Here is a 15,729-nt window from a genome sequence, read left to right as displayed (position 1 = left end):
AATAAAATAAAAAGAGGGCAGTGAGGCTGAGGGGACCGGGCTCTGTCTAGAAGGAGGTAGCCCAATCCACACAGATGTAAACAAATGTTCACTTTCCTGAAACATCTGGCAGATCTGATGGCGGTTCACCAATCCCCAGTTCTTTATGCACAGGCAGGAATTCTAGTCTTAGACTTCGGGAAGGCCAGTGGGCTCAGAGTGGAGGCAATGGGTGTCGCTTCTTGGTGGAAGCCCTTATTTGCTGGGGTTCGCCTTCCTCTGTCCTCTGCATGATGGCTGGGCAAGCAGGGGTTGGCGTGGGTCATGTGTGGGCCCTCCCCTGGCAGCAGCTACCCTGGGGAACCTCCTGGACCCCCAGCGGACTTGATGTACACGAGAAAGAAGCCTGAGTTTTCAAGCCCCCGAGATGCCTGTGCTTTTTGTTGCTGCAACAAACAGGCTCTGAGACAACACTGGCAAGCAGGCAGCTGCCTTGGGTTACAGGGTCTGAGCATACAATTCTTCTCATATGACACTGACGAGTGATTCCACATGGGCCACCAGGGAGGGACCATGGCCTGGGACGTGACATTGCTTTAGCCAAGGGCAGTTCCTGGAGAACAATTTGTGGAGAAACTCCTGGTCGGGGGACGAGAGCCTCAGTGCTGTGGGGGTCTCCAGAGAGCCCTCCACAGCACCCCTTGCAGTTGGTGGTCCAAGGCTCTGACCCCAGCTCATGTGCCCTACAGCACCCAGTGCCAAAGGCTTTCCCGTGGCCTCACTGGAAGGATCAATGCGAGAGGACTGAGGGCCTCCCCAGTGGCGAGCCAGGGCCCGGCAGCTGGGCCAGAGAGATCAAAGGGGGACCATGCGGTTGATACACACAGGGCCAGGCTTTTCTTGAGCTTGCTGGGAGGGAAGCGCGGCAGCAGTGGAGACTAACGCAGGGAACACCTTTGGCATGTGCCGAAGACTAAGTGTGAGGGCTGGTTTAGGTCGTGGTAGATTTCTCTGGCTGCTTCCCCTTGAAGACAGTCCCCTCAGCAAAGCGACCTGCTGTTGAGGACGTCCACCTAGACTTTGTAGGAAGGAGCAATCAGAGGGCTCTGCTCTATTCCTTTCTCTGGCCGGAACCCTCAGCCTCTCCGTGGGTGTCCTGCAGCCTGGGATACCCCACCTGGCAGTGCCTCCCTTTAGACTCGCCCCTCTGGGACCGTCGGCTGCCTGGTTTCTGGAGTGTCACTGCAGGGAATGGCAACAGTCTCCTGGTGTCTGACCACCCCTCCCAAGCTCATGAAGACTGGGGAACTCCTACCTGGGCTGGGCCAGGGGTAGGTTAGACCTCTGAAGCAGGTGCTGTTTAGTATGATTTCTGAAGCATCACCCCTGGTGAGCAGTGGAACCCCAAAGGGTTCAGGCTGGGAAGGGAACCCCACAGGGAGGTCATGCCAGGGCAGTTGGCTTCAGACCGCTGATCAGGGTCCACAGGGCACCGAGGTGGCAGGGTGAGCAGAGAGCCCTTCCGCCGAGTTAGCAGGGATCCCAGCTGTGCCAGAGGACCTTGTAGGACCTGGGACGGGCCACCTCACCTGCACCACCAGGTCCCCTCACGCTTTGGAAACTGCCTACGTGTGATCACGATCACCAAAAGCTTCCGGAAATGCGTATCTCCTGTGGGCTGGGGAAGGCGTATGTGTGCATAACATTTGCTTCGGAAATTGTACAAAGTCCCGGGCCTCTGGTTTCTTGCCCAAGGAAATGGGAACAGTCCCTTTGATCGTGAACCTGAAGGTGGGATCAGAGGTCCTCACCAATGACTGAGACATGCCTGCATGCCAAGGATGTGAGGCCTTGACACAGCTGTTTGCTGAAATCAGAGATAGTCTCTGTTTTCTTGGGGGATAGGGAGGAAACCATCATCTCTGGTACAGGAGAATCCTGTCAAATGGAAGGGACCCTTTGCAGGCTAACAATGCTTCTCAGGTTACAAAACACAGTGCACAGTTGATATTGCCTCATTTCATCCTCTGGGACACCCTGGGGGATAAACAGCTTAGATTGTTCAATTCCCAGGACAGATGAAGTTCAGAGAGGCTGAGAGACCCGCCTCTGATCACACCACTAAGTGGTCAAGTTGGAATTTCTATTCTGAGTATTAGCTTTTTTTTTTTTTTGAGACGGAGTCTTGCTCTGTTGCCCAGGCTGGAGTGCAATTCACAATCTCAGCTCACGGCAACCTCCGCCTCCCAGGTTCAAACGATTCTTCTGTCTCAGCCTCCTGAGTAGCTGGGATTACAAGCATGCGCCACCATGCCCGGCTGGTCTCAAATTCCTGAACTCAAGTCATCCACCTGCCTCGGCCTCTCAAAATGCCGGGATTACAGGCATGAGTCACCATGCCCACCCCAAGTATTAGCATTATGAAGCAAGAACTATGGCTTTTTAGCTATTCCTTCTCCTTGCTCTAGGGATTGCAACATCTACCCTTAGTTTTTCACAGTCTACTCAGAGTGTTTTGTTTTGTTTTGTTTTGTTTTTTGTTTGTTTGAGATGGAGTCTCGCTCTTGTTGCCCAGGCTGGAGTGCAGTGGCGCGATCTCGGCTCATCACAATCTCCACCTCCTGGGTTCAAGCGATCCTCCTGCCTCAGCTTCCCAAATAGCTGGGATTACAGGCATCTACCACCGTACCTGGCTAATTTTGTATTTTTAGTAGAGACGGGGTTTCTCCATGTTGGTCAGGTTGGTCTCGAACTCTCGACCCCAGGTGATCCACCTCCCAAAGTGCTGGGATTACAGGCGTGAGCCACCGCGCCCAGCCCAGAGTTAGTATTAGAAATATAAACGTCACATAAAACATAGAAGCCTTGTGACCATATTTACCCAACCCCCCATGCTTCATGCTGCTGTTGTCTTGCATATTGCACCTACATACATTACAAACCCCAGGGTGATGTGGTAATTTTGGCTTTATACAGTCCTATGTATTTTCAATAAATTAAAAAAGGAAAAGTTATGCTGGGCATGGTGCCTCACCTCTGTACTTTGGGAAGCCGAGGTGGGTGGATTGCTTGAGCTCAGCCCAAGACCAGTGTAGGCACCATGGTAAAACCTCATCTCTACCAAATATACACAAAAGTTAACTGGGGCAGGTGACATGGCTCACGCCTGTCATCCCAGCACTTTGGGAGGCTGAGGCGGGTGGATTGCTTGAGCTCAGGAGTTCAAGACCAGCCTGGGCAACATAGCAAGACCCCCATCTCAATTAAATAAATAAATACATAAATAATAATAAAATCAGCTGTGCACGGTGGCATGTGTCTGTGGCCTGAGCTACTCAGGAGGCTGAGGTGGGAGGATCACCTGAGCCCGGGAGGCAGAGGTTTCAGTGAGCCAAGATTGCACCGCTGCACTCCAGCCTGGCCTTGTGGCTGCATCTCAAAAAAAAAAAGCCAGACCCTGTCCTAAAAAAAAAAAAAAAAAAAAGTAAAAAGAAAACGTTTGGCCGGGCGTGGTGGCTCACGCCCGTAATCCCAGCATTGGGAGGCCTAGGCAGGCGGATCACCCGAAGTCTGGAGTTTGAGACCAGCCTGCCCAACATGGTGAAACCCTGTCTCTACTAAAAATACAAAAATTAGCCGGGCGTGATGGCACGCACCTGTAATCCCAGCTACTCAGGAGGCTGAGGCAGGAGAATCACTTGAACCCAGGAGGCAGAGGTTGCAGTGAGCTGAGATCGTGTCACTGTACTCCAGCCTGGGCGACAGAGTGAGACTCCATCTGAAAAAAAAAAAAAAAGAAAAGAGAATGTTTTAATATTGATTGGGGTAATAGCTGCATAACTCTGTCATTGTACTAACGGCCACTGAATTGCGCACTCTAAATGGGCAAATCGTACGGTAGGTGGGTTATATCTTAACTGATCTATTCCTTGAAAAATAGCTCGTTGTGCTCGTCCTCTTGGTTAGCCTGGAAATGTTCTGAGAGCAAGCTGCCAATCCGTGTCAGGTACCACAGTGCTGACTGCAGAGCTGAGCCCAAGACCAGCTGCTTGGTAAATAGTCCTTGGTTGACTGATTGAGCAGAGGCCTCCCCAAAAAGGTTTTAATTGGTTTCATGTTTAAATTTTGCAATGAGGAATAAAAATCTGCCTCAGATGAGAATTTGGTTCTTCTCCTGTCCCTTCCTATACACAAGACTCCATAGAAACTGAGCAAAGCACCGAAATTTGTGTTCACCGGATCCCCAGAACATAACCGGATTTGGAATCAGGGTCTTTGCATGTGCCATTAGTTAAGATGAGGTCGTGCTGGATTAGGGTGGGTCCTAAATGCGATGACAGGTATCTTTATAAGAAGGCCATGTGAGGACATGCACTGAGGCCACGTGAAGGCAGAGGCAGAGACTGGAGTGACAGACACGCCACAAGCCCAGGAAGCCAGCCGCCCCCAGAAGCTGGAAGAGGTGGAAAGGACCCTCCTCTTTGGCCTCCAGAGGGAGCAAATCCCCCCCCCCCCCGCCCACCCCGTGTGAAGGGGCCTGGCCTCTCTGACCTCCTGGCCTCTCTGACCTCCCGGCCTCTCTGACTTCCCGCCTTTCCCCCCATGTCAACACGGGGGGTCGCTCCCTCCTGGGTCCGTCACATGCGGGAGCCCTGTCCTCCCTGTTGGGTTGCCCTGCTTAACTTATTCATCGGGATCCCAAACCATCTTGTGTATTTGTTTACTTGTCATGAGCTCCAGGAGAGCAGAGGCCTCTGGGTGCCTGGACTGGTCTGGCGCCGGGCGGGCCTCCGCAGGTGCTTGCGAGATGAGAGGCTCCCCAGAGGCTGGTGGGTTGAGGCGGCTCGCTGTCCGTCTCCCGGCGTGGGTTTGTTGCCCAGTGCTGACCAGTCACTCAGACACACAAAGAGCTCTTGGCCTGGGCCAGGGGAACAGAGGGCACTGTGTGCTGTGCCGATGCCGGCGTCTCTAGCCTCTGAATGCTGTCTGTGCACTTCAACAGATGAAGTTCTTTCCAACTGAAATGAAACCGCACAGTGAAACGGGGAGTTGTGCCCAGCTCCCTGGCTGGATCTTCTCCACCCGTGGTCTGGAAGTCTTGTTTATTTTATTTTTTATTTATTGAGTTGGTGTCTCACTCTGTCGCCGAGGCTGGAGTGCAGTGGGGCGATCTTGGCTCACCGTAGCCTCCGCCTCTTGGGTTCAAACTATTCTCCTGCTTCAGCCTCCCGAGTAGCTGGGTCTACAGAGTGGCATGCCACCACGAGCGGCTAATTTTTTGTATTTTTTTTTAGTAGAGATGGGGTTTCACTGTGTTAGCCAGGATGGTCTCGATCTCCTGGCCTTGTGATCCACTCCCAAAGTGCTGGGATCACAGGCATGAGCCACCGCGCCCAGCCAGAAGTCTTGTTTATTTAACCCACCACTAACAAATCAGAGTGTGGCCTTGGCTGTTGATAGCAGAGAATAATATTTATTGGCTTGGTGCCATTGCTTGGGCAAGCTTTCTAACCATAGTGGGTAAATGATGCCCTGTGTCTTGGCAGTCAGGCCTGGGCTGCTCCTCTCTGGGAGGGGGAGCCCCAGGGAGCTGGGAAGGCGATGATACTGAGACAAATGGGAGAGCTGCCTGGGAGGGCCGGGCAGAGCCAGTTCCCTTGCACATTTGCCACACCAGACCCATGTCTGTAGGGAGCGCCCCAGGGCTCTGGTGGGTTGTTAATTACAGCAAACGTACATTATCTCTGGATAATTCGAGCACGGGATTCTTTTGCCTAGGGCTGAAAAGATGTGTCTGCTAGCCAAGTAGGGGGAAAGCCCGTGAAGCCAGTCTTCTCTGCGTAATAAAGATAGAAAACTTAATGCAAACCTAATTCGCAGAGAGAATCCCACCAGAGACCGTGAAGACCCCAAAGAGCAGCTTGAAGAGGCCAAAAGCTAATGGCCAAAGAGAAGCAGTGGGTTTGGGTTTTCTTTGTACAGGGAGAGGACCTCAGGTGTCCAGCGGGGTGCTGCAGAGGAGAGGCCTTGGGGGAAGGTTATTACAGGAGCCCCGCCTCAAGACGACTCACGGCAGACAGGGGAGCCATGTTTTGAACAATGCACTTGGCATCCTTGTTAAACCACTCTAGCACGCAGTCTACACTGGACTGACTCCTGACTCTCCCGTGACTCAGCGGCCCTGCAAGTCAGCTCGTGCCTTGCGTGCACAGAGCAGGTTCCTCCACCCCGTGACCCAGGACAATGACCTGGCAAGCTCGCGGGCATGGCCTGGCCCCCTTCCCTGCCCTTGTGCGTTAGAACCCTCAGGGTCCTATGTGTTAATTCCCAAGGAATGAAACAGCTGGAAGGACCCAAGAATTGCTGGGATCTCATTCCCATGGCTTACTGACTTCCCAGACCTGATGGAACAAGCCTGAGGAGCTCGCTCGGCTTTCCTGGTGGTCTTTCGTGCCTCCTGCCATTTTTCCATCTTTTGCAAAAGGCTGCAGGCAGCACCCACACAGCCCTGCATGAGGCTTGGGTCAGAAGTAAGGGAAACTGCCAAATGCAGCCTTCTGGGTCATTTCAATAACACATACCTCCTCAAGCAATGAACGTCAGCCACGTCCAACATTGCACTTAGGTCCAAAGATTAACCAGCCATTTCTTAATAGAACAAACAAGCATGTTTGGCTTTGCCTGGTGGAACTGCAGCCTCCGGGCGACTGGGCAAAATCCACGAAGAACTGAAGTAAGCCCTGGAGAAGCCTTCCACTCAGCTGGGGAAGGCCAGGAGCTGTCAGGGGGTCCGAGCTGTTTGCTGTGGTGTACGGGAGGAGAGTGTAGAGTCTCGAGAACACCCAAAGCAGCCAGGCTCCAGGGCTCATTTCTGTAATCCCAGTGCTTTGGGAGGCCAAGGCAGGTGGATTACCTGAGGTCAGGAATTCAAGACCAGCCTGACCAACATGGCGAAACCCTGTCTCTACTAAAAATACAAAATTAGCCAGGTGTGGTGGCTCACGCCTGTAATCCCAGCTACTCAGGAAGCTGAGGCAGGAGAATCGCTTGAACCCGAGAGGCGGAGGTTGCAGTGAGGTGAGATCAAGCCACTGGACTCCAGCCTGGGCAACAGAGTGAGACCCTGTCTCAAAAAAAAAAAAAAAAAAAAAAAAAAGGAAAAGAAAAAAAAATTGGTGTTGAATCTGTAGGTCAGTTTGAGGAGAACTGACATCTTTCTAATATTTAGTCTTGTCTCAGTTACTAAAAGAGCCCTGCCATTATTTTTTGGTCTCCTTACATTTCTCTCAACAATATTTTGTAGTTTTCAGTGTAGAGGTCTTGCAAATTCTTTGTTTGATTTATTCTTCGTTTGTTTGTTTTGGTTTTGGTTTTGTTTGAATTGAAGTCTCATTCTGTCACCCATGCTGGAGTGCAGTGGCGTGATCTTGGCTCACTGACACCTCCACCTCCCAGGCTCTAGCGATTCTGGTGCCTCAGCCTCCCGAGTATCTGGGATTACAGGTGCATGCTAACATGCCCGGCTAATTTTTGTATTTTTAGTCAAGACAGGGATTCACCATGTTGGGCAGGCTGGTCTCAAACTCCTAACCTCAAGTGATCCACCTGCCTTGGCTTCCCAAAGTGCTGGGATTGCAGGTGTGAGCCACTGCACCTGGCCTGTTTGATTTATTCTTAAGTATCTGATGTTTTTTATAAATGGTGACTTTATAAATGGTAACTTTTAAGATTTTAGCTTTGTTTTGTTTGCTGCTGATATATAGAAAAACAACTAGTTTTTGTATGTTGATCTTGTATCCAGCAACCTAGATAAATTTACTTATGGATTCTAATAGATTATCCGTACATTCTTTAAATTTTCTACATTTTCTAAACCTTAAACCTTTTATTTCTTTTTCCTGCCTTTTGTGCTAAGCCTTCTGGTACAATGTTAAATAGACATGCTGAGAGAGAACATTGCAGCTTCACCTTCTATTTCTTTCTTTTTAATTTTTTTTTTGAGACAGGATCTCACTCTGTCACCCAGGCTGGAGTGGTTACCACTCACTGCAGCCTTGATCTCCCTGGCTCAAGAGATCCTCCTATGTCAGCCTTCAGAGTAGCTGGGGCTACAGGTGTGTGCTAGCATGCCCAGCTAATTTTTGGATTTTTTGAAGAGACAGGGTTTCACCATGTTGTCCAGGCTGGTCTGAAACTCCTGTGCTCAACTGATCCACCTGCCTCGGCCTCCCGAAGTGTTGGGATTACAGGTGTGAGCCACCACACATGGCCTACCTTCTATTTCTTACCCCTTTCCCTTATCAGCAATCTTATGAAGATCTGGGAAGATGGCAGTGGCAGCATAGTTTTTGAACATTCCAAATCCCCACAAAAAAGCAGAGAGCATGACAACATAGCAAAACAAAAAGTCCAGGGATTCTTTCATGAGTGTTCAGTGAAGTTTTCCAGAGGCCATATGACATGATGCAGCCAGGAGATAGAATGCAGAACCAGATATAAACTCTGGGCCACTGGCCTGGCATGGTGGCTCACACCTGTCATCCCAGCACTTTGGGATGCCAAGGCAGGTGGGTCACCTGAAGTCAGGAGTTTGAGACCAGCCTGGCCAACATGGTGAAAACCTGTCTCTACTGAAAATACAGGCCAGGCGTGATTGCTCACACCTGTCATCCCAGCACTTTGAGAGGCCAAGGCGAGTGGATCACTTCAGGTCAGGAGTTCAAGACCAGCCTGGCCAACATGGTGAAACCCTGTCTCTACTAAAAATGCAAAAATTAGCTGGGCATGGTGGCACATGCCTGTAATCCCTGCTACTCCAGAGGCTGAGGCAGGAGAATTGCATGAACCCAGGAGGTGAAGGTTGCAGTGAGCTGAGATTGTGCCACTGCACTGCAGCCTGGGTGACAGAATAAGACTCTATCCCAAAACAGAAAACAAAATCTGGGCCAGGCTCAGTGGCTCATGCTTATAATCCCAGATCTTCTGGAGGCCGAGGAAGGCAGATTTATTGAGCCCAGGAGTTTGAGACCAGCTTGGGCAACACGGTGAAACTCCATCTCTACAAAAAAAATACAAAAATTAGCCAGGTGTGGTGGTGCACACCTATAGTCCCAGCCACTTGGGAGGCTGAGGTGGGAGAATTACCTGAGCCAGGCAAGTTAAGGCTGTGGTGAGCCATGATCACGCCACTGCACTGCAGCCTGGGTGACAGAGTGAGACCCTGTCTCTAAATAAATAAATACATACATAAAATAAAAATCCAATTGTCTTCTATTTGCAAAAACATAAAACAAGCCATCCTTCTTACTAAATATGTTGTGGTTTTAGAAACATAGTTGCTTTTCATTAAAAAAATAATTTATTTACATTCACATGTAATAGGATTATCACTGACAGAGTGGTTTTCTCTGCATTAGTGGGTGAGTGCAAGGGGACTCTGGTTATGTTTAAAGAGGCTGGGGTCTACATCCTCTGTGAACTCTCAGAAATCACTGCTCAGGGCCTCCTTTCAAGACGCACCAAGCAAAACCGATCTTCAAGTACAAAGGGCATAGACAAAACATCGACGTGCAAGAACTCATTATTCCCATAAGCCTTTGTATTTTTTTTTTTTTTTTTTTGAGATGGAGTCACACTGTGTCGCCCAGGCTGGAATACAGTGGCTCAATGTCGGCTCACTGCAACCTCGGCCTCCTGGGTTCAATTGATTCTCCTGCCTCAGCCTCCTGAGTAGTTGGGACTAGGGGTGTGCGCCACCACACCTAGCTAATTTTTGTATTTTTACTAGAGACAAAGTTTCACTGTGCTGGCCAGGCTGGTTTTGAACTTCTGACTTCAGGTGATTTGCCCGCCTTGGCCTCCCAAAGTGCTGCAATTACAGGTGTGAGCCACAGTATCCAGCCTCCTTTTTTTTTTTTTTTTTTTGAGACAGAGTTCTACTTTGTCTCCCCCAGGCTGGAGTGCAATGGCATGATCTCGGCTCACTGCAACCTCTGTCTCCCGGACTCAAGGAATTCTCATGCCTCAGCCTTAGAGTACCTGGGATTACAGATGCCTGCCACCGCGCCCGGCTAACTTTTTTATTTTTAGTAGAGACGGGGTTTTTGCCATGTTGGCCAGGCTGGTTTTGAACTCCTGACCTCAGGTGACCCACCCACCTTGGCCTCTCAAAGTGCTGGGATTACAGGCATGAGCCACTGTACCTGGTCCCTATATGCCTTTTAAGGAACCTCCTAGAGGCTGGGTTTCAGACAACCAAAGTGACAAGATATCAAGAGAAGGACTGCTGGGAGTGGGAGATACACGTGCATAGCTGTTTGAAGGACTAGGACAAAATGAGAGATGTGATCATATGCAATGACTCTGTGATTTGACAATGTAGAAATTATGCACATTTAAAATAGGGGTTAAGGCCGGGCGCACTGGCTCATGCCTGTAATCCCAGCACTTTGGGAGGCCGAGGCAGGCAGATCACCTAAGGTTGGGAGTTCAAGACCAGCCTGACCAACATGGAGAAACCCCATCTCCACTAAAAATACAAAATTAGCCAGGCGTGGTGGCACATGCCTGTAATTCCAGCTACTCGGGAGGCTGAGGCAGGAGAATCGCTTGAATCTGGGAGGTGGAGGTTGTAGTGAGCCGAGATTGTGCCATTGTACTCCTGCCTGGGCAACAAGAGTGAAACTCCATCCCCCCCCACCCACCAAAAAGAAGTAAGATGATGTCGGTTACATTAGATCTCTTTCACTGCTGCAGTCATAATTTTGCAAAGGCGGCTTCAGCTTCTGCACCCAGCCATGGCAGGGAGAAAGAACACGGAAAGCAAGACATAGTGGTCTCCAGTTTTATCCCTGGAGCCTGGGAGAGAGCGGGAGTGGGTTTGGCCCGTGAGGTAGGAGCTCCTTCACTCCCAGCACACGGCAGCGTCAGGGCCCCCAGAGACAGCTCTGGAGGCAACGTCCCCAACCCAGCACTCTGGCCCCATCAGAAACCAGGGAGTGGCCCTACTTCTTCCAAGGTTCTGGCCTGAAATCTGAGGGTGTCGCAGCCAGAAGGTGCAGTGTGGTTTGCAGGTCACCACAGAGAAAATGGGACTTGGGTGTGAGGATGTTCTGTTTCTCCAATTCTGCCTCGAAGGGCCAAGTTACTTTGGGCGAGAGATTCGGGAACTCCAGGAGAGCTATGCCAACTTCTCCATGGCCCTTCAAAGGCATGAGGGATATTCTTGCAGTCACCAGTGCAGAGAAGCCATGCTCAGAGCCTGAGCCGTGTTGGCCTCGTTTTCTAATCACGGTGAAATGTGGATTGCCCTTGGAATGCCACCACCCACATTCCGGCTGCTGTGAGGTCAGCGGCCCCTGAGCAGGAAAAATGGACAACTTGCCGTCCCCTGTGGCTCAGCGGTGATAGCCTACTCTCTCCTAGCAGAGAGAGAGCCGGACAGACTCCATTTTAGTTTCTTCACCTGCAGTCCCCTTTCATCTCCCTCCCTTAAGGCATAACTAGTGTAAACTGACTCAAAGCACGTCCAGAAATGCACCTACTGATAAGATACAGAGGCAAGCTGCACCAGCAGCTCCTCGGGACGCGCTCGGTGGATGGCACCCGAAGCCCCTGCATTTATCTCTTTGTGATAGTTTAAGCCCCTGCACCTGGAACTGTTTATTTTTTGTAACCAATTAATTTTTTTTTTTTGAGATGGAGTCTCGCTCTGTCGCCCAGGCTGGAGTGCAGTGGCGCGATCTTGGCTCACTGCAAGCTCTGCCTCCCGGGTTCAAGCCATTCTCCTGCCTCAGCCTCCCGAGTAGCTGGGACTACAGGCGCCCGCCACCACGCCCGGCTAATTTTTTGTATTTTTAGTAGAGACGGGGTTTCATCACGTTAGCCAGGATGGTCTCAATCTCCTGACCTCATGATCCACCCGCCTCGGCCTCCCAAAGTGCTGGGATTACAGGCTTAAGCCACCGCGCCCGGCCATGTAACCAATTAAATTTTTAACTTTTTGCCAGTTCTGCTTCTGTAAAAATTGCTTCAGCTAAAATCCTGCCTCCGCTGTTTAGACCACGGTATAAAAACAAAACTAGTCCCTTCCTCAGGGCTGAGAGAATTTTGAGCATTAGCTGCCTCTTGGTCGCTGGCTAATAAAAGACTCTTTAATTTGTCTCAAAGTGTGGCGTTTCTCTGTAACTCGCTTGGTCACAACACGACGATGGGAGGCGTGTTGGATTCTGAGTCCTGGGAGTTTGTTGTGGGTTGGCTTTATTTTGTGTATTCTTATCTGTGGATGTTTTCGGTTGGCTTGAGTGGAACCCCGTCATCCTTGCACAGTTGGATGGGCAAGCGCCTCGGGAAGGTCTCCCTTTCATTTTCTGGGTAAAGAACTCACTTTGTCGGCATCTGGATGCCACGTGGCCTGAGTCTCCTGTGACCTCTGTGCCGGTGCTTTGGCTGTGGGGGGTTGGGAGAGGCTGGAGGGTGGGTGGCACTGAACCAGCCTGGCCTGGGCACTCTGGGAGTGTGCACTTCACAGTGAGGGGTCACAGGCACAGAAGGAGCGAAGGGATGGGACTCCCAAAGAGGCTTCAATCCCCATGACTACCAAGACTCTTTTTTTTTCTGTGACGGAGTCTCGCTCTGTTGCCCAGGCTGGAGTGCAGTAGCGTAATCTCGGCTCACTGCAACCTCCCTTCCTGGGTTCAAGTGATTCTCCGGCCTCAGCCTCCCGAGTAGCTGGGATTACAGGCACGCACCACCATGCCCAGCAAATTTTTGTATTTCTGGGAGAGACAGGGTTTCACCATGTTGTCCAGGCTGGTCTCAAACTCCTGACCTCAAGTAATCCGCCTGCCTTGACTTCCCAAAGTGCTGGGATTACAGGGGTGAGCCACTGCGCCCGGCCTTTGACTACCAAGGCTCTAGATGGTTCCCATCCAGAGAACTTGGCATCTGCACATATCAGCAACGGGCGATACTGCAGCAAGACCTGCGGTTTATCCTAAGTAGTAAACGGCTGATATTTAGAATCTCGTGAGCAAATCAACTGCAGAGACAAGGGACCCATGGGGGTAAAGGGAGGGGAAGGCCAGAGTCAGGTCCATGGGGAGAGCACCAAAGGCAGCTCCCACTTCTTCAGCTTGTGAAAGGAAAATAAATCTTGGAAATCTTGTGGCCCTCAAATCACTAAGCTAAAGGGAAAAGTCAATCTGGGAGCTGCTTAAGGCAAAACTGCCTCCCATTCTATTCAGTCACACCTCTGCTCACTGAGATACATACATATCTGATGGCGTCCTTTGGAAAGGCTAATCAGAAATTTCAAAAGAATGCAACGGTTTGTCTCTCCCCGACCTGCCACCTGGAAGCCCCCCTCCCTGCTTGAGTTGTCCTGCCTCTTTGTACGGAACCAATGTACATCTTACATATATTGATTGATGTCTCCATGTCTCCCTAAAACGTGTAAAACCAAACCGTGCCCCAGCCACCTTGGGTACATGTCCTCAGGACCCCCTGAGGCTGTGTTACCGGTGGACGGTGTCCAGGTTCTTGGCATCTTGGTGTTGTCCAACAAATAATTGCACAAAATGCACAAACAAAGCAAAAAGAGTGAGGCAGCAAAAGCAGAGAGTTATTGAAAACGAAAGTACAAGGCCGGGCGCGGTGGCTCACACCTGTGATCCCAGGATTTTGGGAGGCCGAGGTGGGCGGATCACAAGGTCAGGAGATCAAGACCATCCTGGCCAACACGGTAAAACCTCGTCTCTACTAAAAAATACAAAAAATTAGCCAGGCGTTGTGGCGGGCACCTATAGTCCCAGCTACTCGGGAGGCTGAGGCAGGAGAATGGCGTGAACCTGGGAGGCGGAGCTTGCAGTGAGCTGAGATCACGCCATTGCACTCCAGCCTGGGCGACAGAGCGAGACTCCACCTCAAAAAAAAAAAAAAAAAAGAAAACGAGAAAGTACATTCCACAAGGTAGGAGTGGGCCCCAGCATAGGGGCTCAAGAAACTGGTTACAGAATTTTCTGGGATTTAAATACCCTCTAGAGGTTTCCATTGGTTGCTTGGTGTATGCCCTTTGTGAATGAAGAGGCTAAAGTGAAGTTACAAAGTCATTTACTTGGTGTACGCCCTGTGTAAATGAAGAGGATGAAGTAAAGTTACAAAGTCACTTACTCATTTGTCAATGAAATCATTTACGCTTCATTTACACAGATGCCCTATGTAAGTAAAGAGGATATTTCCTGTCATAGCTGAAGTGTTTCTATTTTATTTATTTATTTATTTTTGAGATGGAGTCTCTCCCTGTCATCCAGGCTGGTGTGCAGTGGCACGTTCTCAGCTCACTGCAACCTCCGCCTCCCAGGTTCAAGTGATTCTCCTGCCTCAGCCTCCTGAGTTGCTGGCATTACAGGCACCCACCACTACACCCAGCTAATTTTTGTATTTTTAGTAGTGACGGGGTTTCACCATGTTGTCCAGGCTGGTCTTGAACTCCTGACCTCAGGTGATCTGCCCGCCTGGCCTCCCAGAGTTCTGGGATTACAGGCGTGAGCCACTGTACCAAGCCCTTACATTTGATTTAGTCCTAGGCAGTCTCTCGGTTCCCTTCTTCCAGGATCTATTCTCCTGACTCAGCTGTGTCACAGTGCCTGTCTTTGACCTGGCAAAATAAGCTTTCTTCATTGATTGAGACCTGTCTCAGATTTTTGGGGTTCACAGGCTCCCAGGGCATTTAGGGTGCCACTGAGCACCACGACTCGGTGCGTTTCCTCCCAGCAGCAGGAGGCCACACACCTGGAGCTACACAGGGTGAGATGGGTTAGGGTCTAAAATCTCTGCATTGAAGAGTGAACCACATCTAAATGCAATGTTGTCTCCTGCGTAGGATCCTGGATGGGAACAGGAAAAGGATGTAAGTAGGAAAAGACCCAGGGAAATCCAAAGCAAGTCTGGGGTTTAGTTAATGGCAATATACCAATGTTGGTTGCTTAGTTTTGACCAATGTACCATTGTATGGAAGATGATCACTGGAGAACTTCAGGAACTATCTTAGCTGTCCTGCAAAGCTACGATTATCCCAAAAGAAAAAAATTATCAAAACAAGTAAATGAGGCTGGGCGCGGTGGCTCACACCTGTAATCTCAGCAGTTTGGGGGGCTGAGGCGGGTGGATCACTTGAGGTCAGGAGTTCAAGACTAGCCTGACCAACATGGTGAAACCCCGTCTCTACTAAAAATATAAAAATTAGCCAGGCATGGTAGTTCAGGCCTGTAATCCCAGCTACTCAGGAGGATGAGGCAGGAGAATCGCTTGAATCTGAGAGACAGAAGTTGCAGTGAGCCAAGATCGTGCCACTGCACTCCAGCCTGGGCGACAGAGTGAGACTCCATCTCAAAAAAAAAAAAAAAAAAAAAGGAAGTGAATAAAAAGCCACAGGAAATAGCTCCCGAAGGCTGAGCCTGTGGGGAGAGGGTGAAGGACTTGTGGGCAGAGGGAGGAAGGCGTGGGTGGAGGGAGGAAGGCAGACACAGGAAAGCTAGACTGGGTGCTCCACTGAGGGACATGTGTGGTTCTCTTTGCAGGAAGCAGAGCTCAGCTCTTGCCCTCTCACATCCTTTGAAGATGACCACCTTGAAGATTAGGATGAAAAGCAAACCCTCGGCTCCTGGCCTGAGCTCTTGGCAATCATGTCTCTCACCAGGCAGGAAGCAAAAGAAGATTGTTTCTGCACTCATTTGTTTTCAGAACAGTGGA

At 50.3% G+C, this 15,729-nt stretch overlaps 5 annotated features.

The window, feature by feature from the left end:
- Positions 5,204 to 6,403: an enhancer, noted in NCBI's record as "BRD4-independent group 4 enhancer chr16:87823556-87824755 (GRCh37/hg19 assembly coordinates)". NCBI's record gives its function as "activates an origin of replication core promoter dependent on BRD2, P300/CBP, MED14 and CDK7 cofactors, and independent of BRD4, by STARR-seq in HCT116 cells {active_cell/tissue: HCT116}" and the evidence as "EXISTENCE:reporter gene assay evidence [ECO:0000049][PMID:35650434]".
- Positions 5,204 to 6,722: a biological region, named in NCBI's record as "BRD4-independent group 4 enhancer GRCh37_chr16:87823556-87824755".
- Positions 6,221 to 6,722: an enhancer, noted in NCBI's record as "H3K4me1 hESC enhancer chr16:87823237-87823738 (GRCh37/hg19 assembly coordinates)". NCBI's record gives its function as "activates a minimal SCP1, AML or CMV promoter by ChIP-STARR-seq in naive H9 embryonic stem cells {active_cell/tissue: H9 hESC(naive)}" and the evidence as "EXISTENCE:reporter gene assay evidence [ECO:0000049][PMID:30033119]".
- Positions 15,500 to 15,599: an enhancer, noted in NCBI's record as "active region_11335". NCBI's record gives its function as "activates an Ori minimal core promoter by ATAC-STARR-seq in GM12878 lymphoblastoid cells {active_cell/tissue: GM12878}" and the evidence as "EXISTENCE:reporter gene assay evidence [ECO:0000049][PMID:35858748]".
- Positions 15,670 to 15,729: an enhancer, noted in NCBI's record as "active region_11334". NCBI's record gives its function as "activates an Ori minimal core promoter by ATAC-STARR-seq in GM12878 lymphoblastoid cells {active_cell/tissue: GM12878}" and the evidence as "EXISTENCE:reporter gene assay evidence [ECO:0000049][PMID:35858748]".

The sequence above is a fragment of the Homo sapiens genome, chromosome 16, assembly GCF_000001405.40.
Source record: "Homo sapiens chromosome 16, GRCh38.p14 Primary Assembly".
In the NCBI taxonomy this organism is placed as follows: domain Eukaryota; kingdom Metazoa; phylum Chordata; class Mammalia; order Primates; family Hominidae; genus Homo; species Homo sapiens.
The sequence above is the reverse complement of the archived record's forward strand: the minus strand, read 5'-3'. Positions and strand labels throughout refer to the sequence as shown.